Source organism: Homo sapiens, chromosome 5, assembly GCF_000001405.40.
Source record: "Homo sapiens chromosome 5, GRCh38.p14 Primary Assembly".
Lineage (NCBI taxonomy): Eukaryota > Metazoa > Chordata > Mammalia > Primates > Hominidae > Homo > Homo sapiens.
Genome location: NC_000005.10, coordinates 154,026,973 through 154,038,917, shown reverse-complemented (window position 1 = coordinate 154,038,917; position 11,945 = coordinate 154,026,973). Strand labels below are relative to the sequence as shown.

Below are 11,945 nucleotides of genomic sequence, written 5' to 3'. Positions count from 1 at the left end.
CCGGGGCAGTAGGAACGCCGAGTCGGCTGCCGTGGCTGTGCTGAGGGTGGCGGCCGGATAGGTGCGGAGCTTCCTGAACGAGGCAGGAGGGGTGCGAGGTTCAGGGGCAGGGCCCGGGCAGCCGAAGTCGTTAGGGAGGCGGTGACCTGACGGTGGGCGGCGGACATCTCGCGGCAGGGTCGAGGGCTGTGAAAGCGGTTTAGTGATTGAAGCGCTACGTTTGTGTGAGGAATTCTTGTCGTTGTCAGCGCCTGAGAACTTAGTTGGGAGCGGACGTTTACGTCGAATCTCTCGTTTGGGACCCCATTCTTGAATGTGGGAAGAAGTGAGAGCGCATGTTTGCTCATCTAGAGACAGCCGTATTAATAACGATAGGATACAAACCATCACCCCACCAAGTGATAGCAGCTGTTAACCTGTGGGCGGTTACGTGCCGGTCACTGTTCCAAGCCCCTCACATATCGCGTCACTGAATCTTTATAGGGACCCAGAACTCCATTTGACAGATGAGGAAACGGAGAGGCAGACAGGTGACCTGACTTCCCCACAATCGCTGCAGGACAGGAAGAAAGTAAACTCCAGAGCCCGTGCTCTTAGCTACTAAGCTGTACTGCTCTTCATTTTGGTAAATGGGGCGGGTGGAGTGTATATATACGTAATATATATGTGTGTGTGTAAGCGTATGCGTTTTTATTTCTTAAAAATATGGCTCAGCCGTATTTATTTACAGTTATTGGAATCTTTCTCCTCCAACTGAGAAAATAACTGGAGGAGAAACTACAATTATTTCTACACGCTTACTACACAATGCCTGGAAGACTTACAAAAACACTAAATAGTGCAGTTCCACGTACTTGGTGTTTATTCCTTTTTTTTTTTTAACCTTTCTCCTAGATTATGAATGAGTTGAGGAAAGAGATGGTACAGTCATTCTAATAACGATAGTAATGATAATATAAACAACCATCACCATAAAAAATTCTCTTCTGGCTTAGCTCAAATATCTGGCACAAATGAAAGAATAGAGATAACCAGTGTTTAATATTTTAGTAAAGGGACTGTTTTGGCAGGGCATGGTGGCTCACGCCTGTAATTTTAGCACTTTGGGAGGCTGAGGCAGGGGAAGATTGCTTGAGGCCAGGCCTAGGGTTCAAGACCAACCTGGCCAACATAGCGAGACCCTGTCTTTAAAAATATATTTTGGAGTATGTCCTTCCAGTCTTTCATGGAATTATATGAATTTATGTAATATGTATATTATATATTCTACATATAGTATACTGTATATATTTATGATGATGATAATGATGCGTTGCAACCTGGAGAGAGCATAAGGAAAAGATAGGAAACATTTATTCATATACACAAAACATTAATTGAACTTTGTGCAAAAACTGTCTCGTCTTTCCTATTAGATAGGCCCTTGGAGTGAATGGCTTACATTAGTTCTCTATCTCCACAGGTACTGTGGTACTACTTGGTACGTAGTAGGTACTCAAAAAATGTTTGCGAGTGAATGAATGGCTACTTCTAAGTTGGTTTGTATGTCAGTGAGTAGTTGTATCTGGATTTTTTCTCTATGTGTTTTGGAAATGTGTAATGTGTTTATATTATATGCCCATATATTCTGAACTCCATAGTGTTGTCTTAATCTACCTTTCTAGCTTCATGCCTTCCCATTGTTCTTCTCTCTGCCATGGTAACTACTCCCTACTGTAACTGTCCATGTTCCATACTGTCAGACCTCAGGCCTTTGGCTGTACCCTCATGTTATTTCCATATCCTTGAATCCTGTCATTGGCATCATCATCTGTCAAAATCATAAGCTTCTTTTAAGGCAGGTGTTGCCAACTCAGATGCCTACAGAGGTTAATCAGGTAGCATAATTTGAGTGAAGTGGATTTGCGTGGGGGATTGTAGGGAGCTGGAGAGCAACTGCCCTAGCTAAAAGGGCCCAGCGGCTATTTAGCACAAGCTAGTTATTACAGAGTTGAATGTGGGCCCGGTGTTGCTAGATCTTTTAATTTTACAAGTTAGAAGTTGGAAGCCTATATTTTTATATGAAGTCTGATTTTTAAATGTTGGCATCTAGTTTTTGCAAAGGTTAAATACTGTGCAGGCCAAATAAAAACATCTGTAGGCTGGATTTGGCACTTAAATTCCCAGTTTGTGACCACTACTCTAGGCTTATTTCAGGTACTTTGTTCATGAATTACGTTGTCTGATTCTAATGGAGTTCTGTTTTTTTTCAGCATTTTGTGTGTTGGATGGTCTGGCAGGGATGTTTCAGCATTTTGTGTGTTGGACTGAATGCAGCACCTGTTATAGTGCTGCATCCAGTCTGCCTTAGTTTTAATATGCCTTTCTTTTCTAATACATTAGAAACATTTTGATAGCATGGGTTGGGTCTAATTCTGCACTTAGTACATATCAGTACATACCTACAGCGTGTGTGTACATATGTGTGAGATGTATTGATTTCTACTCTGATAATCCTTGGTTATCCTGGAAACTAGTGTCTGTTCTTTGTAGAGACACCAATAGTATCTTGGCTTTAATTGCCAAAGAGCTCTACATCTGGAAGGAATTGAATTGAGTAACACTGGTATTCAAAAGTTGATCTGACATAAAGCCAATCTGATGGCTTAAATTTCATGATGTCCTGGAAAAATTGAGGTAGGAATGATTAATAACTAGTAAGATTTTTAAGGACAATAAGTAAAAGGAAAAATTGATAAATTATACCTCATTAAAATTAAAGACTTGCTCTGAAAGGCCCAATGAAGACAATTAAAAGATAAGCTACATACTGGAAAAAAATATTTGCAAACCACATATTATACAGAATATATGAAGAGCTCTCAAAACTCAACAGTAAAAAAAAAATCTCATTAGAAAATGGGCAAAAGATACAAAGATATTTCACTGACAAGGATATACAGATGGCATATAGGCACATGAAAAGATGTTCAACCTTATTAGGTCTTAGAGAAGTACAACTTAAATCCACAATGAGATATCACCACACAACTGTCAGAATGGCTCAAATAAAAAATAGGGACAATGTCAAATGCTGGCAAGAATGCAGAAAAACTTATCAGTCATACATTGCTGGTGGAAATGTAAAATGGTGTAGCTAGTCTGGAAAAGAGTATGGCAGTTTCTCATAAAACTAAACATGAACTTAACCATATGACCCAGCAGTTGCACTCTTGGTCATTTACCCCAGAGAAATGATAGCTTATGTTCCCCCAAAAACCTATACATGAACTTTCATAGCTGTTTTATTTATAATAGTCCCAAACTGGAAACAATACAGATATCCTTCGATGGATAAATGGGTAAATTGTGATACATCTATACTATGGAATACTACTCAGAAATAAAAAGGAAGGAATACTAATACAACTTAAATGGATCTTGAGGGGCTTATGCTGAGTGAAAAAAGTCAATGTCAATAGGTAATATGCTGTATGATTTCATTTATATAACATCTTGAAATGACAGAATTACAGAGATGGAGGACACCTGTCCATCAGAGAGATCAGTAATTGCTTTGGGTTGGAAGGAGTGTCGGAAGTGGTTATGGCTAAAAAAGGATAGCACAAGGGATCCTTGTGATTGAACTGTTCTGTATCTTGATTGTGGTGATAGTCACACAAAGGTATACATGCGATAAAATTTTATAGAACTAAATACAAATGAGTGCGTTTAAAACTGATAAAGTCTGAATGAGATCAGTGGATTGCATTGATATCAGTTTCCTGGTTGTGATATTATATTTGTGTAAGTTTTACCATTGGGGGAAACTGGATGAAGGTATATGGGATCTCTGTATTATTCCTTATACTTGTATGTGAATCTATGATAATCTCAAACTAAAAAGTTTAAACAAATACTTTATACCAAAGAAGCCTATATAAATTTTTTTTGGGCTTTCATTTTACCAGCTGATGTTCTAATCATGTCAGATAAAGATGATATTGAGACTCCACTGCTAACTGAAGCAGCCCCCATCCTTGAAGATGGAAACTGTGAGCCAGCCAAGAATTCTGAGTCTGTTGACCAAGGTGCCAAACCAGAGAGTAAATCAGAACCTGTAGTTTCCACTCGGAAAAGACCAGAGACCAAACCTTCCAGTGACCTTGAGACTTCAAAAGTTCTCCCTATTCAGGTATCACAGACCACAGAAAAAGTAGGGTATCTATTAAAATATTAGGATTAAAAAATGTTGGGGCTAAAAGAAATTTGGCATAAATACCAATTTAGAATTGCTCTTATTTCTTTCTCTTTACAACCCTAAAATACAGTCTTTTCAGTTCTATAAATGCCTTTATGAATAATTGCTTTTGCTATGTGGTACTTACATGCTGATAGCATATATCTGCCAGTCAAGCAATACATTTCTTTAGCTAAATAATATGTATTTGTTCACCCATGCTTTTGGCTAATAATTAGATACCTTGTCTGTACATTCTGATTTTCCTCTAATTTTTTCATTTTTCTTTGCCTTTTGTTTTTCTGCCTACTGGGAAATTAGGATAATGTTTCCAAAGATGTACCCCAGACCAGATGGGGTTATTGGGGGAGCTGGGGCAAGTCCATACTCTCCTCAGCCTCGGCTACAGTAGCTACAGTAGGTAAGATCATCAGTCATTTAGTTATTTTTGTGTGTGTATTTATTTTATACAGATCTGCATTGCATATGACTTGGTTAAAATTCTTCTTCCTTCCATGTTTACTCAAAGGCTTTATAATTTGAGGATGCATTAGTAATGATGGGCTGATATATACTGCCACTAGAGTTTGTAGCATTTCCTCATTAGAATATTGAAGTCTAGGAATTATTACTGTGAACTTATTCTTTGGTGATGATGAATCAATTTTTTTAAGGAAATAGTGCCAAGATTAGTTATGTATTGTCAAAATAACATGTCTTGTGGTCCTAAATGATTTTAAAAATCTTCAAGTTTGATTTTTGTTTCTTCAGTTTTGGTGACAAATAGCAAAAAAAAAAGTTATTTTTCTCATTAGGACAAGGCATTTCAAATGTCATCGAGAAGGCAGAGACTTCCCTTGGAATCCCTGGTCCCAGTGAAATTTCAACTGAAGTCAAGTATGTAGCAGGTCAGTATATGGAAACATAAAGACCTAGAATTATGAATTGAAATGGAACAGTTGAACTAATTTTTCAGTAGGTATTTATTGGACATCTGATACTCAGGGCATCGTGGGACTGTAGTGAGAAAGAGTATTTAGAATCTTTAGTTCCCAATTAGACATCTATGTCCTTTAACTGCTTATGTGTCCCTTTACTTCACTTTCCACATCTGAAATAGAATGATATTTTATATCTCAAGTGACTGTTATAAACATTTAACAAATAAGGCCATGAATATACAATATAAAAATTGCTTAGCATTTTGCTTGGCATAATTGAATAAGAGACTAATAAGAGTTAGCTGAATCTGAGTCTGTTGTGACATGATAAAAATATTTTAATGTATTGTTTTGGGGGTGTATTCCTTTTGTGTTCAGATTTTTATGAAGACTACGTTTAATTCTAGAGGCTAGCCTTGATCAGACAGAAACCTACTCTCAAACTATGAAGGCTAGAATTATAACCAGAAATCGAGAGGGCCTGGGACCAGAAAATAGGAATCTTTTCAAGGCCTGGTTTGCATTCTTCATCTCTCATGGGCTTTATTGTCTCTCACTCTTGTTTCTTTTTGCTGATCTGTCTCAGTTTTTTTCTTGAAGCAGACTGACTTTCGCTGCTTATTTTCCTCAGCTCCAGCTTTATATTGAATCCTGGCATCAGTTATTTCCACTTCTGAATTCCTAGGTAAAAGAATCAGTCTAAACTTGGGTCATATGTCCATGGATCACTTATGGCCTGGAGACAAGTCACATGTATAAACATGGCTGCAAAGGACTATGGATGTGAACTGGAGGCACTGTTCTTAGTGATGCCTGCATCAGTTAAACTATTTTAGCTGCAAGTAACAGCATGTGTGAATGAAAGTCAATATATTTTTCTTACTTAAGGACTCTAGAAGTAGGCTGTTCCAGAGTTAGTTTAGTGGCTCAATGATGTCAAGGTTCTGGGCTGGCTTCTCTACAGTATTCTTTGTTGATTTCTTTATAGTTTCTTTATGGTTGTCCGATAATACTGCAACTCCAAGTATAGTGTTCTAAAATAACCATGCTCAAAGTCAGGAATGAAGTAGATGGGAAGTGTCATTTTTCCTCATGCATCCCTCTTTCTTTAAAGAGGGGAAATGTTTTCCAGGAGTCCCAAGCATGTTTCTTCTCCAATGCCATTGCCTAGAACAGGATCTCATGTTCTTGATGTAGCAGCAAGAGATGCTGAGAGAGTGCGTTTTGGGCATTATCAGAAACCTCAAGATCAGGATATGGGTTTAGCAGCCAAGGAAAAAGGGGGTTAGAAGTGGCTTTGAATATGTTAACAGCAGCATCTTCATGACACTGAAAGATATCTACCACAGAGGGCCATGTTTTAAGAAGGGCTTTGAAAAACTGGGTGAATCCAGAAAAGAGTCAGCTAGATAGTGTGAATCAAAAAGTGTCTGAGACAGGTCTCAATCAAGTTAGAGGTTTATTTTGCTAAGTTTGAGGATGCACCTGGGAAAAAGGAACACAAACCACAGAAACAATCTACCTTCCATACTTTTTTTGAAGAGGGTCTGGTGACTTCAATATTTAAAGGAAGAAGAGTGGGCTCTAGGGGAAAGAGGAAGTAAAGAAAGGGGAGGGTAGATAAGAGGGGCAAGTGGTTGCCTTCTTTTGAATCTTTGATCAGTGTTCACTGAATCCACATTTTACGTGTAAAAGGAAAGAGCAGAGGTAGAGTCAATTATGTATTTGTCTTATGCTCAGTAAATTGGCAGTTTACATGAAATAAAGTAAACGTAGAGTAGCTACCTGTGGAAACATCTGGCCTTCTGTCTGGCCTTTCTGCTTAGGAACAAAAGGAAAGACAGTTTTTGTGTAACTTAGCTTTCAGCTTAACTGTTCCCTTTGGCATAGTAAATTTGGGGTCCTGAGTTTTATTTTCTTTCACAATAGTGAAATGTCTAGAATTAAAGTCTTACAAGAGAAAGTCTTATAAGAGATTGAATCTGGTAATCTGGAGAAGGGAGATTGGGAGAATATCCTGGTCTTTTTCTGAAGACTAGCATGGAGAAGAGGATTAGGTTTATTATTCATGGTTTATGGGGAGAACTAGTAACTAGTACCACTCAGTGGAAGTTATATAGAGTTAAGTTTTAGTTTAATAAAGAGTTTAACAGGGAGAACTTTCCAAAATTACAATGGACTGCCTTTTGATACTAAACCCCTTCTATCTTCTAAAGTTCCTGAGGAAGGAGGTTAATTCCTCTGCCAAGGATGTGTCTTGTAGTCAACATGTATATTTTCAGAATTTTGAGATAAGCATAGGCCATTGATGGAAATCATTGATCATCTATTAGGGATTTTGTTTTCTTCCTTTAAAGGGGGCTATCTTCTGCTTTCCTTTTGTCGGCGGGCAGTTAAGGTATTTGCAACTTAAATTGATGCTTTAAGGCTTTTTTTTTTTTTTTTGGAGAGGGAGTCTCACTCTGTCGCCCAGGCTGAAGTACAGTGGTGCGATCTCAGCTCACTGCAGCCTCTGCCTCTTGGGTTCAAGTTCTTCTCCTGCCTCAGCCTCCCAAATAGCTGGGATTGCAAGCATGGGCCACCATGCCTGGCTAATTTTTGTACTTTTAATAGAGGTGAGGTTTTGCTGTGTTGGCCAGGCTGGTCTCAAACTCCTGACCTCAAGTGATCCTCTTGCCTCGGCCTCCCAAAGTGCTGGGATTACAGGTATAAGCTGCTGTGTCTGGCCAAGACTTTTTGTAAAGCTTGTTTAGGGTGAGTCTATAGTGGCCTTTACTCTAACTAAGTACTGTTTATCTCTGCTGCTAAGGCTTGACTCTTCCGAAGTCTCCACCTTAATTCCCAGGTGTTTAATATAAAGTCTCTGCTTTTGTGGTTGGAGGTCAAATGTCTCTCAGCCTAGCGTGAGCTCTGGGGATTGCTTAGCTTAGAGCTCCATGGTAGTTCTTTGTACAGACTTATGGAGCCTCCCAGTGCCTCAGCAGTGCAGTATTTAAGCAAAAACACCTAAAGGTGTCTTAGGGCATGCCTATGCGGATTCTTAGAACTTTTTAGCTATGTAGCTTCCTCCTCTACGGTTTTCTGACCTGCAAATTCCGATTGCTTCAGCATTCCCAGATTCCAGTCTCCGTTTCTTCCACTCAAACTGATTGCCATGCCCTACTTGGGTTTCTCCTCCCTCTGTCATGGCCTGGAAAGCTCCTCTATACAGAAAGCCAAGCCAATTGTAAGGTTTACTTTGTTGTTCTTCTTGTGTGAACCGAAGTCTTGTACTGCCTATTGTCCTATGTCTGAAGACAGTTGCTTCTTATATATTGTCCAGTTTTTCAGTTGTTGTGGCAGGAGGTCATATCTAATACCAGTTAATCCATCATGCTAGAAGTGGAAGTCCTCTCTATAATATTTGATAATACTGAAATTATTTGGTATAATGGTTGTTCTCCTATGTGAAATTTTTAAGTTAATGGATTTTTGTTTTGAAACATACCTATCTTTGTAATGTATGTCTGTTTGATTTCTACTAATCATAATTTTCTAGGATAAAATTTAAAATAGACTGGATTTTTAAAAATCAGGTTTATCAAATTATAATTTACACACAGTAAAATTTATTCTTTTTAGGTGTACAGTTTTACATGTTTTGATCAGTATATATACTTCTGTTTATACTGTGTAATCATAGTACACTGTGATTATACAGATATAGAAAACATTCTATATAGAATGATCAATACAGATATATAGAATGTTTCCTATATCTGTATTGATAATTGAGACATAAGAAAATTTTTATTACCCCAAAAAGGTTCTCTCACGTCCTTTTGTAGTCACTGTTCTCCTTACTCTCAGTTCTTAGCAATTACTGATCTGTTTTCTGACCTTACAGTTTGACCTTGTCCAGAAGATTATATAATTGGAATCATACAACATATAGGCTGTTGTATATATCAGCAGTTTGTTTACAAAACTGGATTTTATTTTCGAAATGAAAAGAAAATGAAAACTGCCTATCTTAGCTTTCATTTTAAAATAAGCAAATGGTTTAAAATGATAAAAAGGGCTAAGGCCTAGTATGTAGTAAGCAGGGTCTAGTTTTAAAAAATTCACATAGATGCTAATAAAGCCTGAGAGTTAAGGGACCTTCCCTTCATGTTTACACATCCCCTCCCTCTTGTAGGAGAGACAAATGCCAAAGAGAATGAAAACTCCTCCCCAGTGGCTGGGGCATTTGGTGTATTCTCTACCATCTCTACTGCTGTTCAGAGCACAGTAAGTAAAAAAGTGCAAGGTGGTCTGTTCCTTTCCATTATTATAATGGGTTTGCATATCTTTCTCTCTCTTTTCTTTGAACAGCCATGTGGACTGATTACTTTTAAAGGAGTCCAAGCCACTGAAGATCGGTCACTTTGGTCTTATGGGTGGAGTGAATGCTACTTGAAAACTTTCATTAAAGCAATAAGGAAGAAAGTAGGAAATAAAGGAGTAGCAATAAATAAGGGAGTAGGAGTTACAGAGAGGCAATATACGTATTATTTTATGGATTAGGAATTCTTAATTTGGTGGCCCTAAAAAATGTCTACTTTACAAAAATATTTTTCTCATAGTTGCATCTTTTAGGCAAAGGGGAAATGTGATCTTTATGACAGATATTTGCAAAACTATGTATGATTAAAAACATTTGTAAGAGGATTATCTAGGAAGCTAAATATCTTTGCTACATGAGGATAGATAGCTAGTTTTTTTTAAATTTTAACTTTTTATTGAAATATACATACAGAAGAATGTAACAAGTGTTGTTTGAATTTTCAGTGTGAAACACCCAGAGTAAGAAACAGTATTACCGTAATCAGATCTCCCCACCATCTTGTGTCCTCTCCCAGTTTTCTGTGTCTTCTGCTCTCCCCCTCTCCTGCACCAAGATAACCATAATCCTGACTTCCACCATCATAGGTTAATTTTGCCTGCATTTCAGCTTTACATAAGTGGAATCATATATAGTATCTAACTTCTTTCATGCAACATTATATTTGTATAATTTACCTATGCTGCAGTTTGTGTGGTAGATTTGATTTTCTTTGTTGTATTTCATTGTGAAGCTTTGTCACGTTTTATTTATTCATTCCACAGTTGGTGAGCATTGGGGTAGTTTTCAGTTTGTAGCTATTACAAGCAGAGCTGTTATGAACATTTTTGTGCATGTCTTCTGATGAACCTCTGTACTTATTTCTGTTAGGATGTAACCATGAGTGGAATTTCTGGGTCATGCAGCTGGAGTAGATATTGACAAACAGTTTTCTAATGTGGTTATACCTATTTACGTTCCCACAAGCAGTGTGTGATTGTTTCATTTGCTTTACATTCTTGCCAGTGCTTGGTATTGTTAGCCACTATTTTTATATAATAAATACATAATAAAAATGCATAAAAATATGTTTTCTTAATATTGTTGTAATGAGGTTGCATGTATTTTCTAGGGAAAGAGTGTTATAAGTGGGGGTTTGGATGCCTTAGAATTCATTGGAAAAAAGACAATGGATGTGATAGCAGAAGGGGATCCTGGATTTAAAAGAACCAAGGGTCTGATGAACCGAAATGCTACACTATCTCAGGTACTGATTATCCTTACCTGTTTACTTCCTGTTTCTGTTTTGATCTGTATTTTTGCCTTTGTTTACTTGGAACCTTGTTAGTGTTTTCTTTTCAAGCATTTTCAATAATGTTTATTCAGGCGTTTTTTTGGGGGGATCAGGGATGGGTGAGAGCTCTACTGCTTACAAAAATACCCAGCTCTTTTTCTCCTCCTCTTTCTGCAGGAGCCTCCCATCAGTGCAGTGCAAAATGCTAAACCCTGTCAGGGTTTTTTGTTTGTTTGTTTGTTTGTTTTAATGTTTAAATCACTTTCAGAGAAACACCTGGTTCCTTGGGTGTGATTTGCACTGTCTAGGATCAAATTATGTGGTCAGGCACGGTGGCTCACGGCTGTAATACCAGCACTTTGGGAGGCCGAGGTAGGTGAATCAGTTGAGGTCAGGAGTACAAGATCAACCTGACCAACATGATGAAACCCCGTCTCTTCTAAAAATACCAAAATTAGCTGGACGTGGTGGCGTATGCCTATAATCCCAGCTACTTGGGAGGCTGAAACACGAGAATAGCTTAAACCCGAGAGGCAGAGGTTGCAGTGAGCAGAGATCGTGCCACTGCACTCCAGCCTGGGTGACAGAGTGAAACTCCGTCTCAAATTATGTGTGATCGTTTTTCTTTCTGCAGCTCCTGAGCCCACCAGATTTGAATAGCAGTGCCAAGAATGAAAGGGCAATCCTCTGTACTCTAACCTGTCTAAGCTTTGCTTCCTTCAATTCTCAGAACTCACCCTTGAGCTCTCATTGTTTGCTACAGTGTAATGCCTCCATCTCTTTTTAGGTTTTACGAGAGGCGAAGGAGAAAGAAGAGATACGGACCTCCAATGAGGTTACCGTGGAAACAGACAAGAAAACTCATTATGGGCTACTCTTTGATGAATTTCAAGGCCTTTCACATCTAGAAGCTCTGGAGATGCTTTCCCAAGAAAGTGAAATAAAGGTAATTCCAAGCCAAAATCTCAACTGGAAAAAGTCTTCAAGTAAAAGAATGCTGCATGGTTTCCTTTCTCTTTGTACATTTGGAAGATGAAGTGTATGTTTTGTTAGAGGCTTGAGATGCCTTCGAAATACTACCACAAAATAAATTTAAAAACTAATGTTTGATTGAACTAATTGCTAAAAGCAGAATTAGTCAAGTATTAT

At 38.1% G+C, this 11,945-nt stretch overlaps 1 protein-coding gene across 15 annotated transcripts in view; it reads left to right on the top strand.

Moving 5' to 3' along the window:
* Window positions 1–7: 7 nt before the first annotated feature.
* Window positions 8–11,945, top strand: part of FAM114A2 (family with sequence similarity 114 member A2) — a 48,763-nt gene continuing 36,825 nt past the window's right edge. For 2 of the 15 annotated variants that reach the window (XR_007058573.1, NM_018691.4), the window contains exons 1-7: window positions 8–61; window positions 3,951–4,174; window positions 4,541–4,640; window positions 5,035–5,127; window positions 9,338–9,429; window positions 10,635–10,769; window positions 11,584–11,742. Coding sequence is in view for 13 of the 15 variants with exons in the window: in NM_018691.4 (NP_061161.2) it covers window positions 3,965–4,174; window positions 4,541–4,640; window positions 5,035–5,127; window positions 9,338–9,429; window positions 10,635–10,769; window positions 11,584–11,742 (789 nt within the window). In the remaining 2 variants the exon portion in view is untranslated. Of the gene's footprint in view, window positions 2,677–3,950; window positions 4,175–4,540; window positions 4,641–5,034; window positions 5,128–9,337; window positions 9,430–10,634; window positions 10,770–11,583; window positions 11,743–11,945 lie in introns of all 15 variants that reach the window. The other 13 variants (XR_007058574.1, XM_017008967.3, XM_047416658.1 and 10 more) reach the window with 12 other exon arrangements.